Genomic DNA, 22878 nt, shown 5'->3' with positions numbered 1-22878 from the left:
GTCTCTACCCTCTCTTTTCTCTGGGCTTGCTTCTTTCACTATGGGCAACCTTCCACCCTCCATTCCTCCTTCTTCTCCCTTAGCCTGTGTCCTCAAGAATTTAAAACCTCTTCAATTCTTGCCTGACCTAAACCCTAAGGGTCTTATTTTCTTCTGCAGCACTGCTTGGCCCCAATACAAACTTGATAATGGCTCTAAATGGCCAGAAAATGGCACTCTCGATTTCTCCATCCTACAAGACCTACATAATTTTAGTCGAAAAATGGGCAAATGGTCTGAGGTGCCTGATGTCCAGGCATTCATTTACACATCAGTCCCTCCTTAGTCTCTGCTCCCAATGCAACTCATCCCAAATCTTTCTTCTTTCTCTCCTGTCTGTTCCTTTAGTCTCCACCCCAAGCTCTGAGTCCTCTGAATCCTCCTTTTCTATGGACTCATTTGACCTCTCCCCTCCTCCCCAGGCTCCTCCTCACCAGGCCGAGCCAGGTCCCAATTCTTCCTCAGCCTCCACTCCCCCACCCTATAATCCTTCTATCACCTCCCCTCCTCATACCAGGTCTGGCTTACAGTTTTGTTCCACGACTAGCCCTCCCCCATCTGCCCAACAATTTCCTCTTAAAGAGGTGGCTGGAGCTAAAGGCATAGTCAAGGTTAATTTTTAAATGAACAGTGTTGTTTTTACCTAAATCAATCTGGCCTGGTATATGACAACATAAAAAAAAAAAACTCAAGGATAGAGCCCAAGAGCTCACCAAACAAGCAAAGAATTATGCTGAACCCCCTTGGACACTCTTTAATTGGATATCCTGGGTCCTCCCAATTCTTAGTCCTTTAATACCTGTTTTTCTCCTTCTTTTATTTGGACCTTGTATCTTCCGTTTAGTTCCTCAATTCATGCAAAACTGCATCCAGGCCATCACCAATCATTCTATACCACAAAAGCTCCTTCTAACAACCCCACAATATCATACCTTACCCCAAAATCTTTCTTCAGTTTAATCTCTCCCACTGTAGGTTCCCATGCCGCCCCAATCCTACTCGAAGCAGCCCTGAGAAACATCGCCCATTATCCCTCCATACCACCCCCAAAAATTTTCACCGCCCCAACACTTCACCACTATTTTGTTTTATTTTTCTTATTAATATAAGAAAACAGGAATGTCAGGCCTCTGAGCCCAAGCTAAGCCATCATATCCCCTGTGACCTGCACATATACATCCAGATGGCCTGAAGCAACTGAAGATCCACAAAAGAAGTGAAAATAGCCAGTTCCTGACTTAACTGATGACATTCCACCATTGTGATTTGTTCCTGCCCCACCCTAACTGATCAATTAACTTTGTGACAATACACCCTCCCCACCCTTGAGAAGGTACTTTGTAATATCCTCCCCCCACCCACTGCCCTTAAGAAGGTACTTTGTAATATTCTCCCCTGCCCTTAAGAAGGTACTTTGTAATATTCCCCCCACCCTTGAGAATGTACTTTGTAAGAACCACCCCTTGCCCGCAAAAAATTGCTCCTAACTCCACCGCCTATCTCAAACCTATAAGAACTAATGATAATCCCACCACCCTTTGCTGACTCTCTTTTTGGACTCCACCTGCCTGCACCCAGGTGATTAAAAAGCTTTATTGCTCACACAAAGCCTGTTTGGTGGTCTCTTCACATGGACGCATGTGACAGTCATCTCACTGGCAATTATATTGAATCAAACTATATAAAATTGCTATTTCTGTAGGTCAAGGGTTAATTTTTGGAAATTTTGTGTGGCTCAACCTGCCAGCAAAGGCATGTGAGCCGAGACCTGGATCACTCCTTGTCTTACTTTCCCTTTCTGTTTGCATCTGTAAGTTTTTTTGACGGGAAAATAAAGCCCATCAAACCTAATGTTTTGCATAATGGAAAACAAAATATATGAAAAGAGTTTGGGGGGAGGGGAAGATTGTTTTGCTGTTTTGTTTTGTGACTTTTCAGCCCATTATCTTCACTTCCTCTTCCTTGTTCTCTAGCTTCTTCCCTGGTTACCTCTTTTCCTGCCTTCGTATTTACCAGCTCTTTACTTTATTTCAATCATCTTCTTTCTAGCTTGTTTGTGTTTGTTTTTTCCTACCCTTAGGGGATTATACAGACTTTCAGACTACATGGTGGTAAGAATAATGGATTGTTCTGTGTTAAAAAAAATTCAGAATGGGAGAAAGTAGGGCTGTGTTCTGGAAGCAATGAGAGCCTGGGGCCTTGGAGGACTTTCTATGCCCAAGCCTCACAAAGAGAACATCTGGTGCGACACGCAGCTGGGAAAAGATCTAGTTTTTAAAAACAGACAAAGCCCTATTATATAAAGGGAAAAACATATCTTTTTTGTTGTTATTTCAAAGTTACAAGTGCTCCCTCTTCTGTCAACCTTTAGAATTTGTGCTCTCTTGGGCCACTCTGCATATCAAAGAAAAAAGTGGATAAATAAAAATAATGAAGCAGAATAAAGTTCTTCACTCATGGAAACTTGAATGTTGTAAGCAATGGAAGAATTCAGGGACACTACACGAGGAGTGATCCCTCTGTATTAAATGCAATGTCCCTGCCGGGGGTGGTGGCTCACGCTTGCAATCCCAGCACTTTGAGAGGCTGAGGTGGGCAGATCACATGAGGTCAGGAGTTCAAGACCAGCCTGGCCAACATGACAAAACCCCCTCTCTACTAAAAATACAAAAATTAGCCCGGCGTGGTGGCGCACACCTGTAATCCTAGCTACTGGAGAGGTTAAGGCAGGAGAATTGCTTGAACCCAGGAGGCAAAGGTTGCAGTGAGCCAAGATCATGCCACTGCCATGCAGCCTGGGTGACAGAGTGAGACTCTGTCTCAAAAATAAATAAATTAATTAATGATTAATAAATGCAATGTCCCATGGTGCTGTGGCCTGTGCTATTTGGATGGTCAGCTACTTCATTGCAACATGCACCAGTTTCCTGGAGGTTAGTTGCTAATTCTAAAAGGCTTCAGATAATTCACTGTGTATTGAGTCATGGCTTGATGACGACCTTGTTTACAAAGCTCATTCAAACAGCCCAGTTCCTGCCCGTTTGCTCTTTGACCCTGACCGAAATCCACCAGAAGGCGAGTGACTTACAATGGGATTATTCACATTTCTGCTTTTTGTTGCATTATTCACTTGAAACTAAAAAAAAAAAATCAAGGAGCAATTACTTCCAAGACTTTTCCAAACACATCACTGGGCGGGGGAGGGGTCTTCATCTGGGGGCAAGGCACTGCAAACTTCCAACATTAGGATATAATCTGTGAATGAGATAACCTATCAGTGGTGGCCTAGGCTCCAGCCTTCTGGTCAATCTCAGCAACTTGGAAGCAAAAAAGCAGAAACTGTTACATTGGTTGATACTTCTTTTACAAAAGGGATGCTCTGTTCTCTTTTGCAGCCAAAATCCACAGTGATCCACATAATACTCAGGAATCACCCAGAAGGGATTTCTATCTGAAAGGAGAAAGAAGCTCTGGGGCATGAATATACGTTGTCTTGTAAAAAAATAAATCAGTAATTCATGTGTGTATATTTTATACTCAATGGGAAAAAATGTTTTATTTAAAAAAACACTCAATATTTTACATGACATTGTGAAAAGGCAGCACGGAATTACTCATTTGCTTCCTTTTTTAAAGTTTTAGATGAAAAATAAACATTTAATCCCATCACTTGTTCTTAAATGTAATATTATTTTGTTGTCCTTTACACCCCAGTTGTCACAGGTCAGAAACCCTGAGAGAAGCCAAGATTGCTAAAATGAAACTTTACTTCTAGAAACAACCCCAGAATTAAATGTTTCTCCACTTGGCATGGAATTTGAAGATTGACTTTGAATGCCACCTTGGAATCTAGCATTAGCCAGTTACTGCAATAAAGAACAAAGGAAGGCTCAGAGGAAGTTGTAGGAAACCTCAGTGTGTCTGAGATGACCTGCAGCAGAGGCCATGCAACAAGGTCCCACCCCTGGGGACCTGGAGATGTCACCTGATAATTACGGTTTTGGTGAATAGTGATAAAGATGCCAAAAACAGTTTTACCAGCAAGCATGACTACCTAGCAATAGGATTAGACCTGTGGTAACTTTGTAACTTTGGTCTGATGTCATAGTTTTGTGTGTGTGTGTTTTTTTGTTTGTTTGTTTGTTTTTGGTGTGACCGGAGTTAGTAAAAGCTGAGAGAAGTAGAAAGATGAAATAAAACAAACAGTCCAAGGTTACCCTGCAAAAATTAACTCCAAGCCTGAGAATCAGTATGCAGAAAAAATAGCAACGTGTATAGTGTCAATTTCTTTTTGTCAGCTCCAGTTTATGAGAAGAAAATGATGGTAAAGAGTATAGCTAAAATTTTGGTCTTCTTTCAAGGTTTGCCATGTAGATAAATGTGTCTAGGAGTTTGTAAACCACAAAACAACAGGGAAACTCAATCCTCAAAACCTTCCATTTACAAATGAAAGCCTTCTCTTTACAGGGCTTACAGAAATAACCATACAAAATTAGCCACTTACTGTTATTTATAACCACATGGAATATGGCAAAATAATTTTGGCTTGATTCTTATTCCTGTTTATACTGATAATCCCAACTGCCATATATTCAAATTCCAGATAGATGAGGCACTAGAGGTCTTATGGAGTCTCTTTCTCTCTTTTCCTTTTTCCTTACCCAGTACTTTTTTTTTTTTACCCTTTCTCCTTGTAGTTCTGTGTGAAATATAAAACAATTTTTGAAAATGATGAAACACCCTGCATAATTAGATTTCATCATTTGTTCTCTTGCTTCTTTTGCCCCTCATTGTATAACAATTGCAGATCCTTTCTTTTCCTGAAATCATTATGTTTTCCCCCACTCCCTTACGTTACGCAATAAACTTGGAGTGATATTAACGTCTTGTTTTGAAATGAGGGAGAAAGAATAGAAAAAAAATGTCAAGGGCTTTTGGCTTTCTTAATGCCTTGTAGAGCATTTAGTGTTGTTCAATGCCTCATTTGATTCTCAAAAATATTAATCAAGGGTAACAAATGAGATGCCTTACTCAGAATGTGAGGACTAGCTCAAGAAACTGCCCAGCAACTGAAGTGAGTGCATTGGCTATGCACCTTGTTACCAGAATCTTTCTGCTGAGCTTGGAATTTAGTGTTTTGCACATTTCTTCTAACCTGGACATCTTACGTGGATGTGACTTTTAGTTTAGATTTAGGGAGGACATGTGTAGGTTTCTTATGTTGGCATATTGTGTAATGCTGAAGTTTGGGGTATGATTGATCCCGTCATGCGGGTGGTGAGCATAGTACCCAACAGCTAGGTTTTCAGCCCTTTCCCCTTCCTCCCTCCCCACTTTTAGAGTCTCCAGTATCTATCATTTCCATCTTCGCATCCATGTGTACATCCAGTGTTTAGCTCCCACTTATAAGTGAGAACATGTGGCATTTTGTTTTCTGTTCCTGCATTAGTTTGCTTAGGATAGCGGCCTCTGGATGCATCCATGGTGCTGCAAAGGACATGATTTCATTCTTTTTATGGCTGCATAGCATTCCATGGTGTACATGTACCACATTTTCTTTAGCCAGTCCACCGTGGATGGGCACCTAGGTTGATTCCATGTCTTTGCAGTTGTGAATAGTGCTGTGATGAATGTACAAATGCATGAGTCTTTTTGCCAGAAGTATTTATTTTCCTCTGGGTATGTACCCAGTAATGGGATCACTGGGTTGAATGGTATTAATAGTTCTGTTTTTAAGTTCTTTAGATGCTGATTTCTTGCAGCTGTTAATATATTTTTAGACTTTTGAAAGCGATAGCCAAAAAATACTTCCTCTTATCTCTTAATGATCCACATTGCAGCTTAGAGTCCAGTGGTCCACACGTTAATGTTACATAAGCTGATGGCTCTGGCCCATTTTGAGCTGTTGAGATGTCAGATAGGAGTAATATAACTATCTCTGCCAGAGGTCACTCTAGGATTCCTGGCAGATTGAGCGATCAACTGTGCGGGGTGGTCCAAGACTGAAGAGGTTCCCAGAACAAAGGACTTTAACTTTTAAAACTGAAAAAGTTCCAAGCAAACCAGATGAGTCTGCCCTGACTCAACCCACAGTGGGTGTCCGAGTCTGTGCCGTATGATGGTGCCCTGGGTCTGCCACAGCCTTCCCCTTTCCAGTTTCTCATCCCTTGTTACCCTTATTCCCACCTTTGAATACGAGCCCCTCTAGTCATTTATCATTTCCTTTCACAAACTTTCAAATCCTCAACCCCAAACACAGAGCTGAACTAGGATGTTGGCTAATCAAGGTGAAGGTCTGAGATGGATGGGGATGTCTCTACTTAACCACCTTGCTGCTGCAGACCTCACTCAGTTAACTGTGAACACATCTCTTACCAGCATTGACCGGGCCTCATTGCTGTCTGAGAGGCAAGTTTCCAAAATCTGATTCACTTTTGAAACCTATGTGAGTTTCCTGTAGGGCCCTCCCCACTGCCCAATTTCCTAACATAAGAGATAGAACTTCCAGCCCAGTTTCTGCCATTAGCAATCCGTGCATCCCACGGCCTCTTGCTACTGGCAACCCCTCATCCTAAGGACAGCTCTTGTGGGAGTCAAGATGGTGCAAGCCCAGTTGACTTCCTTGGTGGCCCACCACATGACCTGTGGAAACACTGCAGACCCTTGGCACAAAATGGATGGGAGTACAGCTGCTCTTCCCTCATGCCTCTCCCCACCCTACCAGTTTGTTCTAATCCTCTTCTTCCTTAGGAACAGATCAGCAAATGCAGTGTCTAAGCAGAAATCCAGTTAAGGAAAGGAAGGCAAGTGCTCCCTTCTGGGCATCACCCTCCCTATCATCTTTATTACAGATTCTCTTGGAAACTCTCTCCCTCTCCCATTCTTGGATGTAGTGAGGGGAGGGAAAAGGGGAAACCTCTCACTACAAACTCTGCATTTCCCATGTGGCCAGTGACAGGATCCTTCCCCATCTCCTCAAGAGTGGGGGGCTAAAATAAAATTAAATACCTAGGAATTAACTTAACCAAAGAAGTGAAGGATCTCTATAATGAAAACTATAAAACACTGATGAAAGAAACTGAAGAGGAAACAAAAAAATGGAAAAAGATTCCATTTTCATGGATTGGAAGAATCAGTGTTGTTAAAGAACACTGTTGTTACTCAAAGAAATCTACAGATTCAATGCAATCCCCATCAAAATACCAATAACATTCTTCACAGAAATAAAAAACATCCTAAAATTTATATGAAACCAAAAATGGCCCAGAATAACGAAAGCTATTCTAAGCCAACAGAAAAAAAAAACTGGAGGAATCACATTACCTGACTTCAAATTATACTACAGAGCTATAGTAACCCAAATGGCATGGTACTGACATAAAAACAGACTCATAGACCAATGGAACAGAATAGAGGACCCAGAAACAAATCTACACACATACAGTGAACTCATTTCCACCAAAGGTGCCAAGAACATACACTGGAGAAGAGACGGTCTCTTCAATAAATGGTGCTGGGAAAATGGGAATCCATATGCAGAAGAATGAAGCTAGACCCCCATCTCTCACCATATAAAAAATCAAATGAAAATAGTTTAAAGATTTAAATGTAAAGCATCAAACTATGAAACTACAAGAAAACATTGGGGAAAATCTCTAGGACATTGGTCTGGGCAAATATTTCTTAAGCAATGCCCCACAAGCATAGGCAACCAAAGCAAACATGGACTAATGGGATCACATCAAGTTAAAAAGTTTCTTCACAGCAAAGCAAACAATCAACAAAGTGAAGAGACAATGCACATAATGGGAAAAAAACATTTGCAAACTACCCCTCTGACAAGAGATGAAAAACAAGAATATATAAGGAGCTTATACAACTCTATAGGAAAATAATCTAATAATCCTATCAAAAAATGGGCCAAAAAATTGGATAGACATTTCTAAAAAGAAGACATACAAGTAGCAAACAGATATATGAAAAGATGCTCAACATCACTGATCATCAGAGAAGTGCTAATCAAAACTGCAATGAGATATCATCTCGTCCCAGTTAAAATGGTTTATATCCAAAAGACTACAATAACAAATGCTGGAAAGAATGTGGAGAAAGGAGAACCCTTTTACACTGTTGGTGGGAATGTAAATTAGTACAACTACTATGGAGAACAGTTTGAATGTTCCTCAAAAACCTAAAACTTGAGCTATCATATGACCCAGTAATCCTACTGCTGGGTATATACCTAAAAGAAAGGAAATCAGTATATCAAAGAGATATCTGCACTCCTGTATTTGTTGCAGCACTGTTTATGATAACTAAGATTTGGAAGCAACCTAAGTGCCTATCAACAGAAGAATAGATGAAGAAAATGTAGTACATATATACAATGGAGTAAGATGAATGGATAAGGAAAATGTGGTACATATACACAGTGGAGTACTATCCAGCCATAAAAAAGAATAAGATCCAGTCGTTTGCAATGATATGGATGGAACTAGAGATGATTATGTTAAGTGAAATAAGCCAGGCACAGAAAGACAAACATCACTTGTTCTCACCTATTTGTGGGATCTAAAAATGAAAACAATTGAACTCATGGACAAAGAGTGTAGAAGGGTGGTTGGTTACCAGAGGCTAGCAAGGGTAGTGGGGGACTTGCAGGGGTGGTGGGAATGGTGAATGGGTACAAAAAAAATAGAAAGAATAAGATCATAAGACCTACTATTTGATAGCACAACAGGTTGACTACAGTCAACAATAACTTAAGTGTACATTTTAAAATAGCTTAAAGAGTGTAATTGGATTCTTTGTAACATGAAGGATAAATGCTTGAGGGCACAGATACCTCATTCTCCATGATGTGCTTATTTCACATTGCATGCCTGTATCAAAATGTCTCACGTACCCCAAAAATATATACACCTACTATCTACCCACAAAAATTAAAACTTTAAAAATTGTTTAAAAGAGTGGGAGACTTACAGCGTGGGTCTGGTTCTCCTATATCTTTGGACTCCCTGGGGCAGGAGTTTAGGATCTTTAGGGGTCTACTTCTAACCTGTTTGTTTGTGCCAAGTTCTTCTTTACCAAAAAAAAAAAAAAAAATTATTGGTGAGAAATCTAAAGTACATAGCATACTCTTTCAAACAAGGACCATTTTGTTAAACATTTAGTGAATGTCCACTGAATGTCTGATGCTGGAGTTACAGAGAACCTGATGGTTAACTGAGAGAGACACTGAGTCACAGAGTAGCTCAGATCATCTCCCCAGTGTGTGAAATGCACTGAGCCCAGAGAGTGGGGCTGACTCCCCTGAGAGAGATCATAGATTCCCCCCTCAGCGTGAACCACAGAAAACAACCTGGTGTTGGCAGCAGAATGGGAAGTGGATGAAGATACATGAGAACAGCCAGTCATAGCTGACATGTTAGCACCAAAAAATGCTAATCTCCATGTTGAAACATGACATTATAGACTGGACATGCAACTGAAGATCATAAAACTTGATTTACTCAGCACCTTTGTGACCATCACAATCAGGTGTTCCTTGGCCTCGGTGCCAGCTCCCATACCTGCAAACCTGCGTGTCCCAAACCCAATATTTGACTTCACATGCATTCTGCTTATTTGTCTCTGATGACGACTAACTTCATTTTTCACATCCCCCACTTTGGCCTTGAAGACCCCTCTTTGGGTGCTGTCTCCCCATTTATCTGCACTGTGTAATAAGCTTTTGTCATTGTTTCGCTCTGAGTGTGGAGCTTCAGTCTCAATTTCCCCCTCACACACGTTCTAGCCAAATGAAGCAGCCTCACCAAGGGTCCTCAAAGCATGGTGAAGCTCTCCTATGCTCTGTTCCTGTTAGTAACATGATGCCCACATTAGCATAGACGAGCACAGAGCTGTGAAGAAGATGTTGGAACATCTCTTGCCTCTTGTTTTCCCAGCTTGACCTCTTAACCTATTCATGACAATGATGTTCATCTCCAGCCACCACAGTTCCCTGCACACAACATGCACCTGGCTGGCTCTTCCCATATATCTTCATCCACTTCCCATTCTCCTGCCAACACCAGGTTGTTCTCCGTGGTTCACACTGAGGGAGGAATCTGTAATCTCTCTGGCAGGAGTCAGCCCCATTCTCTGGGCTCTCACTGCGCTTCACACACTGGGGAGATTATCCGAACTACTCTGACTTGATGTCTCTCTCAGTTAACCATCAGATTCTCTGTAACTCCAGCATCTGATGCTCAGTTGGTATTCACTAAATGTTTTAAAAAAATGGTCCTCATTTTGAAGAGTATGCTATTTACTTCAGATTTCTCACCAATAGAGTCTTTTTTTTTTTTTTTTAGGGAAAGAAGAAATAAAAAACAAACATCATTAATTAAGCAACTGCTTATATACCAGGAATCAGCCTCTTCTATTCTTTGATGCCTTAGTGAAATGGTTGAGTAATTTCACGTTTTTTTAAATAAAGAAACTGAGACTTAAAAAAGCAAGGTAGATACCTCATAAGTGTCTGAGCCTGATGTGCATAGTAGGCTATCTGGCTCCAAAGTCTTGGATCTTTCCACTATGCCTTTAAAAATATATAAAGGGAAAAAAGGAAGGAGGGAAAGAAGGAAGGAAGGAAGGAAGGAAAAAAGAACAGGAGGGAGAGAGCGGGGAGAGGAAGGAAGTAGGGAGGGGAGGAGAGGAAGGAAGGAAGGAAGGAAAAGGAGGGGAGGGAGAGAGGGGTGAGAGGAAGGAAGGAGGGAGGGAGGGAAGAGGGAGGGAGGGAGCAAAGAAGGAAGGTAGGAGGAAAGGAAGGAGGGAGGAAGGAAGGTGGGAGGGAGGAAGGAAGGAAAGAGGAAGGAAGGAAGGAAAAGAAACAGCAAAGCCATACTTGTATATTAAAGCTGTTTTGCTCTGGTTTGGTTATGATAGGAATACTAAAAAGAATGTGGATTGGAAAATACAGCCACCTGATGGTTTCATTGGAGCTCTGCAGGAAATGCTGGTTAAATCACCTTCAGGGTTGTGGAGACATCTTCCCCACTTGCTCGCATTCATGGCCCCATGAGACTGGTACCAGTGACTTCTCTAGACCCCTGGACACACTTCTGAATGTGAAGCCAATGCTTAACTTAGCCCATTCTCACCATTCACTTCCTCATCTGCAACTACCATTGAATTACGTTAGGTTCCCCCAGAATACCGTTTATGAGCCAGTGTTGCTTTCACATTCTCCAGCTTCAGTCCAGCTTTAATTTCTGCCATCTTTGCAAAGGCAGCTACTGACTATTCGATGGATCCACATACTTTATCAGTGTGTTGCAGGGGCTGGCATGTGGTTCTATCATCGTCCACAGTCACTCACAGACAAATCTCATCTAGAGGAGAACAGCTGATGGCTTCTTGAAATGATTCTTACTGTGCAGTTGTTTGGATGGTAAATACAGATGTGGTTTCCGATCACCAATATTTGCTTACAAAATGCTAAATATCATCCCTTGCAAAGTACACAATAAAATAAAAGACCCAAGAGCATTTTATAAGCTATAGAATCTGGTAAACATATAAGGAATTAGATGAAGAGGGCAGATCTTGATCTCAGACCACTTGGTCCAGTCATTTACTCCTTAGGCAATTTGGGACAGGTTCCCAAGGCTCTCCGGCCTCCATTTCCTCATGTGTGATATACAGCTGATAAGAGTTCCAGACCTTATCATCCAATCATAATGATTAAATAAGGTAAAACCCAGAAAGCCTATTATTAGCATGTATTTGGCTCCTGGTCAGCACTCAATAAATGTTAGCCAAAGTATCACCATCATCATCACCTCCCTAGAGTTGAAAAACAATTTATGACAATTCACAGATACTTCAAGCTTCTACTATGGAAACTTCATTATTACTGACACACAGTGATAGACATTACTGCTTGCTAATTATCTCAAATTTTTTTTCATTTTCAAGGGCTATTAATTTAATAAATGTATTTGAATTCAGTGGAGGAAAACAGAAAAAAAGGTAGAAAAGTATTTCAAGCTGTATGTAATAAGGTAGACAGATTATGAACATTAAACCTAGCCCATGTGGTTTAAGAGCAGTGATTTCTAGCACAAAGTATAAAATTCTAAAGCATAAAAAATTTAAACGAAGATATATGGCTATCTCCGTTTCATGTAACAAAAGTTGGTGGTAGTCAAGATTTAAAATATGATCAGTGAATAACAGACCTTGGGCTTTGTTTTTCAAAAAGGCTGGAAATTAGATTTTGGTACTGCAGGTATTTCAGGTAGCTAAATGAGATTCCCTCCATCTCAACTGCAGTATTGGTCTGTGTTTTAGATAAAATGAGAATCTTGTTTCTAAAATCATGTGCCGCATGTTCAGAGTATGTTTGTTTCTTTAGTAACCTCACTTGTGGGGGTAAAACTGTACATATTAACCCAAACTGTTATTATGTTTGTACTTAGCTGGAGAATAACAGAACTATTAATCCCTGTTGCCGTAAACATCAGATAGCAGGGGCGACTGCATGTATTTATGTCTGCATGCCAGGACATGGTGTCTTATGATACCTGAGTAAAGATAATAAATACTTCTTTCACAGTAGGAGTTTACTAAAGCTGTAAGTCTGTGTTTTCTACCAGAAATTTAAAACAGTAATCAGAATAAATGCCACTCAGATGTTTATTGTCATTTGCAATGAACAAATAAGTGACTGGGAGAAATAGGCTGGGAAAAAAGTCTCAGAGCCAACAGAACAAGTTCTCAGAATAAAGGGGTTCCTTTGGTTTATGCAGAGGGTAAAAAAGAGTCCCTGGCTCTTCATTCCTTTGTCACCTTTCTATCCAATGTTTAAAGCCACTGTGTTCTCAGAATGGCCGCAGAACGTGGGCAGCTGGTGCCTTGGACGCTGTCCTACTGTGGCACGCTGAAGTCCCCTCAGCCCTGCTAGAAACTGGCACACAGTGCCACATAAATAGCATGGGCTTTATTTATGCAAAGGGAACAAGTGGTCCCTTCTCTAGGAAGGTTACACCCTTAGGACTGGCATTTGGTGGCAGATGGGCAGTCTTCATTTCATGGAAACCTAACTCCTATCACCCTAAGGGGTGACACAACATTCCATTCTAGACCCTTGGACATGGGCCAGGACAATTCACATTTGTTTCATATGAAACAGCAAGTCAGAGGAATAAATAGCCCTTTAACCTTATTCAAAGGATCTGTCTGTGTGGGACCTTTTGGGCTGAGCCCCAAGGGTCAAGGAGGCCTCACATTTTAACCACTCTCCAATGACAACTTTTTTGTCAGTAGAGATGAAGGGGACTTGCCACAAATATTGATCCTAATTTAATTTTGGACACGTAATAGTAATCAAATTTAAGAGTAGTGAGGTGGCTGTAAAAATGGGGCATCCCCACCAAAGCTCTCAGAAACCTGACTTTTCATTGTGTTTTGAAAAGAAACAGTGGCCAGGCTTGGTGGCTCATGCGTGTAATCCCAGCACTTTGGGAGTCTGAGGCGGGCAGATCACCTGAGCTCAGGAGTTTGAGAACAGCCTGAGCAACATGGTGAAACCTTGTCTCTGCTAAAAATACAAAAAAAAATTAGCCGAGCATGGTGGCACATGCCTGTAATCCCAGTTACTTGGGAGGCTGAGGCATGAGAATTGCTTGAACCCAAGAGGCGGAGGTTGCAGTGAGCTAAGATCATGCCACTGCACTCCAGCCTGGGTGACAGAGCAAGACTCTGTCTCAAAAAAAATTAATATTAAAAAATAAAATGAAATAAAAAATAAAAGGGAGAGAGAGAGCGCGCTTACCTATTACTGAATAAGAATAAAATCTCTTAATGCCACTCACTTTAATCTCTGCATCTCCTTTTCTGGAAATGGTGGAATTTTTAGCATGTTTCTGAGTCTGATATGTCTCATATTTTTAAGTGCCTATGGCATGCAGGAAAGAAGAGAGACACTCCCCAGAGGAAAGCCTGCTGCCCTCCCTGAACTTGGGCCATGAACTGACCATGTCATTACATTATCCCTCTTCAGTCCCAGGACTCAATGTTGCAAGATCCCTGCAAGCCGCATTCCATTATTCAAATGCCATTTCAGCCAAAATCTCCATCTGCCTAAAAGATGTCTCTGTCCTAGCCAATGGCTCCTCCACTGGCACATCATCTGAAGCCTCAGAATTCTATACAGAAAAGCCATCATGATGATTTAAGAGTCCTTGGGGTTTGTAAGAATGAGAGTCTGTTTCATAAAAATTGGCATCCAAATCATGGTTCCAGCTACACATGTTTAATACTGAATTTAAGTAATCAGATTCCTAATTTGAAAATTGCTTAGTTGCCAAGACTCTGATAGACCTTTTCTCAACACAAAAGTACAAGACGAGAGGGCAGCTTAAGATATCCATATGAAAAAGAATAAAATTGGACCCCTACCTCACACCATATACAAAAGTTAACTCAAAATGGACCCAAAATGTAAATGTAAGAGGTAAAGCTAGAAATCTCTTAAAAAGGAATATAGGTGTAAATCTTAGTTACCTTTCTTAAACATTATACCGAAAGCACAAACAAGGAGAAACTGACAAGCTGAACTTCATCAAAATTAAAAACTTTTGTGTGTCAGTGAACACTATCAAAGAAGTGAACAAAGAATGCACAGAATAAGAGAAAATATTTGTAAATCAAACATATAATAAGGGTCTAATATCTAGAATATATTTTTTAAAATTTGAAACTTGACATAAGAAGATAAATAGCCCAATTTTAAAATACACAAAAGATTTGAATAGACATTAGTCTAAACAAGATATACAAATGTCCAATAGGCACATAAGAAGATGCTCAATATTATTAGACATTAGAGAAATGCAAATCAAAACCACAATCAGATACAACTTCATACCAACTAGGATGGCTATAAACAACAACAATAATAAAAACAACAAATAAATAAAAACAGAAAATAATGTTGGTGAATATGTGGATGTATTGAAGTCTTCATGCCTTTCTAGTCAGAATGTAAAATGGTTCAACACTGTGGTAAACAGTCTGGTGCCTCCTCAAAATGTTAAGATTTACCATGTGGTCCAGCAATTCCACTACTGGATATGAATCCAAGAGAATTGAAAATGTGTGCTCAAACAAAAGTTTGCACGTAAATGTTCATAACAGCATTATTCATAATAACCAAAAAGTACAAACAACACAAATATCTACTAATTGATGAATGCATAAACAAACTGTGGCATAATCATTCAATGGAATATTACTGCACCATAAAAAGGAATGAAGTGCTGATACATGCTAAAATGTAGATGAACTTTGAAAATCTTATGCTAAGTGAAAGAAGCCAAATACAAAGGCTATATATGGTGTGATTCCGTTTATCTAAAATGTTCTAAATAGGCAAATCTATGGAACCACAAAGATTAGTGGTTGTGAGTTACTGGTAGGGGGACTGGTGGTGTTAGGGGAGAGTTGAGAGCGACTGCTAACCTTTTGAGGTGATGGAAAGGTCCAGTAATTAGACAATAATGATAGTTGTACAACATTTTGAATATATTAAAAACCACTGAATCATGTACATTAAAATAGTGAGTTTTAGGGTAAGAGATTTATATCTTAAGTTTTTCAAAAAAATAAAAATAAGATAAAACCACACACAGAGAACAGTAAGTGCTCAACAAATCACTAAAACAGCAGTCACCAGCTGGAACATCCATAAGTAGACATCAATAGAATGAACCAGAAAGCCCAGAAACAGACCAGGGAAACAGGAGAATTTTTTTAATAGGATACAACGCCATTTCAAGTTAGCTAGGAAAACACAGATTATTCAACAAGTAGTGTTAAGACAAAGTTTAACCATCTAAAAAAATAAATAAATAAGGCGGATCCAGACCTCACACTCTACACCAAAATAAATTACATAAAATATTTAAATATAAAAAACAAAATAACAAAAATGCTTTTAAAAATTGATAATATTCTATAAGGGACTGCATCTATTTTATAATTCCAGGATAAATTTACAATATAAAATATTTTAATAATTCTTATTCAATATTTGCTTTTATTGTTATTATTAAGTATATATTTAGTTGTTATGTTCATATGTAATGGCGTGTTTTTCAGTATTGCGGCAATAGAGGGGACAAAAAATAAAAATAAAAAATTGTAGTATTGATCTAGAAGCACACGAACAGCTGAATATGTTACAATATGTTCAAGCCATGTTTCAGCAATCTGTTTCTGGTCTAATGGAGACATTCCCAGCCAGGAGGGATTTTGCCTCCCAGGGAACATTTGGCAATGTCTGGAAATATTTTTGATTGTCCCAACTTGGGCAGTGCAGAGGGTGATGCTACTGGTATGTGGTGTAGAAAGGCCAGCAACAATCTAAACAGGGCAGCTACCCAGAGCAAAGAATTATCCAGCTCAAAATATCAATAGCGCCTCTGTTCAGAAGCCTTGCACTAGTGGAAGGATGGTGCTTGATGTTCTTAATAATAAACCTGTTTCCTGGGACCCGTGGAAACTCCCAGGCATTGAGACACCAGAAACCAGAAGCTCCTTCTTTGATGCTTCTCTTTTATTATTATTTATTGAGAACTTATTGTATGCCAGGCACTATGCTAAATTACTTAAGTGCAGTATTTAATTTTAATCTTCACAATTACCCTATTCTACATACTACCTTATTGTACACATTTGTTATTTCTTATTCACAATGAGGAAACAAATGCTTTGGGTAACTTATCAGAGGTTCCTAAATATTGAACAGTGAAGGTAGGACTGGAACAAAGATGAATCTGACCCCAGGGTCCGTGTATAAAACTTCCATGCTTTGCCATCTTATAAGACCCTGAGCCTATTCCATGGGTCCAGTTACATGTCTCTGTCCTCCAGGGTAAAAGTTAAGGCAGGAACATGATCAAATAACTGAATGTGATTATCATTGATCATCACTGATAAGGAAAGATTCCTGGACCACACTGCCCACTGTTGAGGGACTAAGTATTAAAGAGCACTAGTAGACATCTCTCTATGAAGAGCAGCATTTATTGTAAGGTTACACTCTACCCATCAGGGGTACTGACATAGCACCCCTGACCGTGGCTTAGGAGCAGGGAGACTCAGGGTCTGGCAATGTGCAAATTCTCAAGAAGCAGAAAGTATGTTTTCTGTCAGCTAATGGGTAGAATTTGGCTCTGAACCTAGAAGCATGAAGCAGTGAGTCTGTGGCTCTGGATCTACACACAACAGGAGGGATGAAAACCAGGGAAACTTAGAGAAAAAAGGACTTTAAAATACATTACGTGAGCACATAGTAGCTTTTAAATAAATAATGAACCAATGAATCAATGAATGGATGGAGAGTTTTGCATTCCATGCTAATCAACAATATGACTTTTGATATGCAATGAATCTCTTGGTAATGGCATCAGCATGATGTTTTAGCACGACAGAGTACTTTTACATGCATTGTGTTGTTTGTTTCACACAACAATCCTATGAAAGAAGAAGAGAAGCTATAATTAATCCCATTTTGGAGATTCATTATTTCATCAATTAAACAGCTGCACCATGCTGGGAACCAAGCAAGGCTCTGGAGGTCTGTGATAAACAGAAAAGACCTGGCCTCCACCCTCACAGAGCAGGAGTCTAACGGGGAAGGCAAATGTCCAATGAGTAATTGCAAGTCTCAGAAAGTCACAGAAGGGACAACAAGACCTACAAATAAACAAACAGTATCCCAAAGGGGTTAAGGGCTCAAAAGTCATGTCTTGGGTTGGGCATGGTGGCTTAAGCTTATAATCCCAGCACTTTGGGAGGCTAAGGTGGAAGGATTGCTTGAGCCCAGGAGATCAAGACCAGCCTGGGCAACACGGCGAACCCCCATACTTAGTAACCTCTGGTAAGTTACCCAAAACATTGGTTTCCTCATTGTGAAAAAGAAATAACAAATGTGTACAATAGGGTAATATGCAGAGACATGGGCATTCGGGTCCAGGAGCCTTTCCTAATTACAAAAATTAGCCAAGCATGGTGGTACGCATCTATAGTCTCAGCTACTTGGGAGGCTGAGGTGGGAGGATTGCTTGAGCCCAGGAGGTCGAGGCTGCAGGGAGCTGTGTTTGTGCCAGTGAACTGTAGCCTGGGTGACAGAGCAAGACCCTGTCTCCAAAAAACAAACAAACAAACAAACAAACAAAAACAAAAAAAAGTCATGTCTTTTAGGAGGGCAGTTGGAAAGCTGAGTCTGTTTAGCCTAAAAAAAAGGGAATTAACATTAAGACACGATCATAGCATTCAAACATTTGAAGAGATGTCATGTGGAGGAAGGAACAGACCTCAGACAGAGGAACTGAAGAGCACAGGATAGATCCTGGTGTCCTGAAAGACAGATGTGTCTAATGACATTCAAATAAAAATGCTCAGGTGGCAGGTGAGAGAATTGGATCCCTGCCAGGCCATCGACACACACTTCAGTAGACTCAAGAACACTGTGGTTCAGCGTATGAACTCTGGGTCAGCCAAACATGGCTCAAAACAAGCCCCCTGTTACCACTACCACTGCTTTTGAGCTGTGTTTCCTTAGACAATAATCATTGTCCTTAACCTTTGTTACTTAATCTTTCTAAGCACCACCTTCCTCAGCTGCAAATGGGAGATAAAGACAGCACCTGTCTCAGGTGCTCGTCGTAGGATTCAATAAGATAAGGCATGTAATCTGTTTCACTCATTGTTTGGCACATGAAGCCCCAGGTAAATAATCATTAAATGAATATTCCTTTAATGAATGGATTTCATAAAGAAAGTACCCAATAAGCATTATTAGCAATGATGTCAGTAGCACAACGAAAACAACAAACTCGCCATGCAGATATGAGGATGAAGTGAAAGACGGGTGAATGTACTATTGACCCCACCGAGGTTTGCAAATAGGTGGTGTTTCTCTTATCAGTCAGAGAGATAACAAGATCAACTTCTGCACCGGGTAAAGTTTGGACCAAATGTCCTCAAAAATCATCTCCAATTCTTAAATTCCGTGAAAATCAGAAGTGTCTAATAGTCCAATTGTAGAAGTCAGGAAGTTTCTATTCCCTCAGGACAGCAAGAAAGGTCATGGAGCTGCAATCATAAAGCTGTTTGTTTCCAGAAAGGAAATGAAAAGTCCTTCTCCCAGTCCCTATCCCAACTTGTTATTTACAACAACATAAAAGTGCTTTGTTTTTGTACCTTTCTCTGAAAGAACGTGGCCAATCGTCTCTAAAATTCTCAGAGTGTACATATGAGATTTCTTTTGCTTGTTTATTTTTTTCCCAAGCCCTCCCAAAGAAATGCCCCCAAGGACTGCAAGAATCTTCAGGATATGAATTATAGTCTTTTACAATATTTGGTCTTCTTCCAGTTCTACTTGGAATCTTTGACCTGAATGTGAAAAACACAGAGCCCTTGTTTCCACTGAGATGCAGAAAAGGGTTTTCAGATTGTGCCACCTTCTGGCCAAATTTGGAAACCAAAGTGACAGATTTCCTTCATGCCTTCCCAGCAGTGATTCTGCCCCACCAGGGAAGTGGGGCAGGAAATGTCTGCCTGCTGGGCCTCCCCGGAGGTATCATCTTGAACTAATTCAAATTAAACCATGGGACAGCTTCAAAAGCTCATTGCTTATGTATTTAGAAGCACATGTTTGTACTAAAGAGCAATTACTCATGGTGCTCTGATGTAGGTTCAACCTCTGGAGTGGGAAATCAAATCGGGAACTTTCTCAAACGCTTTTAGCTGCCAACCTTAGCAGATGTGTAAATCAGTTGTTGTTCAGTTGCCTGAAACACTCACAGCTACTTTTGTAACTCTAATAAAGAGAGATTAAGAAAGAGAGAACAAAGATCCAGGATCTGAAATCCCTGTCTACTTATGATGACTGAAGATTGATACAGGATTCGTGCAAAGGAGCCACTCTAGAGAAACCCCTTCATCTATAAAACTCATCCGAGTTTTGGGCCCAGACCCCTATGCAGAACTCTTTCTATGAATGAGACACCAGGATGCCTCTCGTGCCTCTGCTTTACGCACAAAAAAAAAACAGAAAATGGAATGATCTCCTTGATGTGTTTTCCCTAGAACCCACATCTTAACCTAAGCCAATATCTGTGGGAAAGAAGAGGCAAGGAAAGACTAACCCAGGTTATAGAGTCCCATAATTAACAAAGTTTCAAAAGAACCTAGATTAAATCATCCATTCCAGGCCTTCCCAGGGTGAAATAGAGAAGAAAGAACGCAGGTTTACCCAGGAGGGAAACAGCCCCATATCTACCTAGTAGTGAAGCTTCATGGAAGATCAAAACCTTAGGAGGCAGAGAATGCCAGACTCTGAGCCCCACAGTATCAAAGCAATGATGAAACCTAAGTATGTCTCATCAGCAGGTTCAGTTCAGCTCTGCGGCCCTGGCAGGCCCTGAAACCTCCTTCTCTAAACAGTGCCTCTCTTAACAAGAGCAGGGGAGAGAGGGATGCTTGAACATACTTTATTCTTCCTGGAGCTGGCGTATTTCACCAGAACAAAATTCATCAGCATTTTTTTAATCTGAAAGAGCTTGGGTTTATAACACACACTTACAACTAATATCCAAAAGTTTGCCTTCCAGGTGGTTGAAATATCACTATGCTGGTGGTCTATTCTAGACATAGATAGCTGACATAAAACACACACTTCCAAATATGCCTAAGATTTTTTTGAGAAAAATATTTTCAAAAACTATTAACCATTTCAAAAAAACAGGGAAATGTCTTGTGAATTGGCTATTCTCTATGAAACACATCAATACAGACGGTTTTTAAAGGAACATGATCTGAAAACACATAGGCTTAAATATGTACCTGATTTGTTATGAGGTGGATCCTTGGACTTTGTCTATTACTTAACACATTTTTTCATTAAAACCTTAATTTGTAGGCTTTTTGGGGACTAGATGTCTAACAGGAGAAGTTGGTTTTAACGCACAGGTTGAAGTAACAGAGCACTTCCCAAAGTATGTTCTTTGGGACACTAGTCCCTCAAGATGTTTGGCAAAAAGGGCATCTGTACCCAAAATTTGGAGAAATGTTTCATGTTATATATGTCTTCTAGGAGATTCACAATGCACATGAGCTTATAAAGAATCTGAGAAATTTGGAAGTAAAGGAATAACAGATTAAATTTGCTTAACTTCAAAATGTTCAAACTTCATTGGCCAAGGAATACTTATATAGAGAAACATCTAATGAGATCTCAAGGAGCTGAACACATCACAGGAAATTCTGCTAATACAACAAGCAGATATATGAGGTTTTCATTCTTATTGATTATGACTTCCCAGAACCAGGAGAAACAGGCCTCAACACTGAGACCAATGCACAATTGCTCTACAACACCAAAAACAACTTTCTATGGCAGGAGAACAGAGAGGAGACTGAACTAATAGGTCCTTGAACTGCTGAGGGCCTTTATAGACCATTTTCCTAAGCCTTTGCCCATAAAAACTAAGTTCCAGGAAACAACAGCACAGCTTGTAGTTATGACAACAGGAATGAAAAATCAGCTTCTTCATAAATCATTTAGGAAGTGAATCAACCAAGCCATATTTGAAGAGCTGGATTCTAACACAAATCTTGTCTTCACCTAAATCTCATAGGATTATTCTTCCAGAAAGGGTTGGATTTCTATTTCTTCTCTGTAAAATCAGAAAACATGGATTGCAGTATCTTAGAAAAACTCCTCTGCCTTAAGAAGTTGTAATACTCATGAATCATAAAAAAGAAATCAATCATGTTTTCTTTTTTGCTGCCTTTCCTAGAACTTTAAACTTGCAAGGAACCTCTTTGTATATTCTCTATACTAGACGTAACTACTTTTTATTTCTGGGTTACTGGCATAGGACATTGTATTTTCTGGTTTTAGGGAAAGAGGAAAATTGAGTGCTGTAGGGACCAGACCTACAGTGTTTGTGGGTTTTTCTCCTCGTGTGCAGAGATGAGAGATCATAGAAATAAAGACACAAGACAAAGAGATGGAAGAAAAGACAGCTGGGCCCAGGGGACCACTACCACCAAGACGCAGAGACCGGTAGTGGCCCCGAATGCCTGGCTGTTTGGTATTTATTAGATACAAGGCAAAAGGGGCAGGGTAAGGAGTGTGAGTCATCTCCAGTGATTGAGAAGGTCACATGAGTCACGTGTCCACCGGACAGGGGGCCCTTCCCTGTTTGGCAGCAGAGGCAGAGAGAGAGAGAGGACAGCTTATGCCATTATTTCTTCTATGCATTTCAAAGACTTTTAGTACTTTCACTAATTCTGCTACTGCTGTCTAGAAGGCAGAGCCAGGTGTACAGGGCGGAACATGAAAGTGAAACAGGAGTGTGACCACTAAAGCACAGCATCACAGGGAGACATTTAGGCCTCCAGATGCCTGTGGGCAGGCCTGACTGATGTCAGGCCCTCCACAAGAGGTGGTGGAGCAGAGTCTTCTCTAACTCTCCCTGGAAAGGGAGACTCTCTTTCCTGGTCTGCTAAGTAACGGGTGCCTTCCCTAGGCACTGACGCTACCGCTAGACCAAGGTCCGCTAGTTAACAGGCGCCTTCCCAGGCGCTGGCATTACCGCTAGACCAGGGAGCCCTCTGGTGGCCCTGTCTGGGCGTAACAGAGGGCTCACACTCATGTCTTCTGGTCACTTCTCACTGTGTCCCTTCAGCTCCTATCTCTTTATGGCCTCGTTTTTCCTAGGTTATAATTGTAGAGCAAAGATTATTATAATATTGGAATAAAGAGTAATGCTACAAACT

At 40.4% G+C, this 22878-nt stretch overlaps 1 annotated feature.

The window, feature by feature from the left end:
• Nucleotides 22241-22610: an enhancer, noted in NCBI's record as "active region_12651". NCBI's record gives its function as "activates an Ori minimal core promoter by ATAC-STARR-seq in GM12878 lymphoblastoid cells {active_cell/tissue: GM12878}" and the evidence as "EXISTENCE:reporter gene assay evidence [ECO:0000049][PMID:35858748]".

This window comes from Homo sapiens, chromosome 17 (genome assembly GCF_000001405.40).
Source record: "Homo sapiens chromosome 17, GRCh38.p14 Primary Assembly".
Lineage (NCBI taxonomy): Eukaryota > Metazoa > Chordata > Mammalia > Primates > Hominidae > Homo > Homo sapiens.
This window is presented reverse-complemented; position numbering and strand designations above follow the sequence as displayed.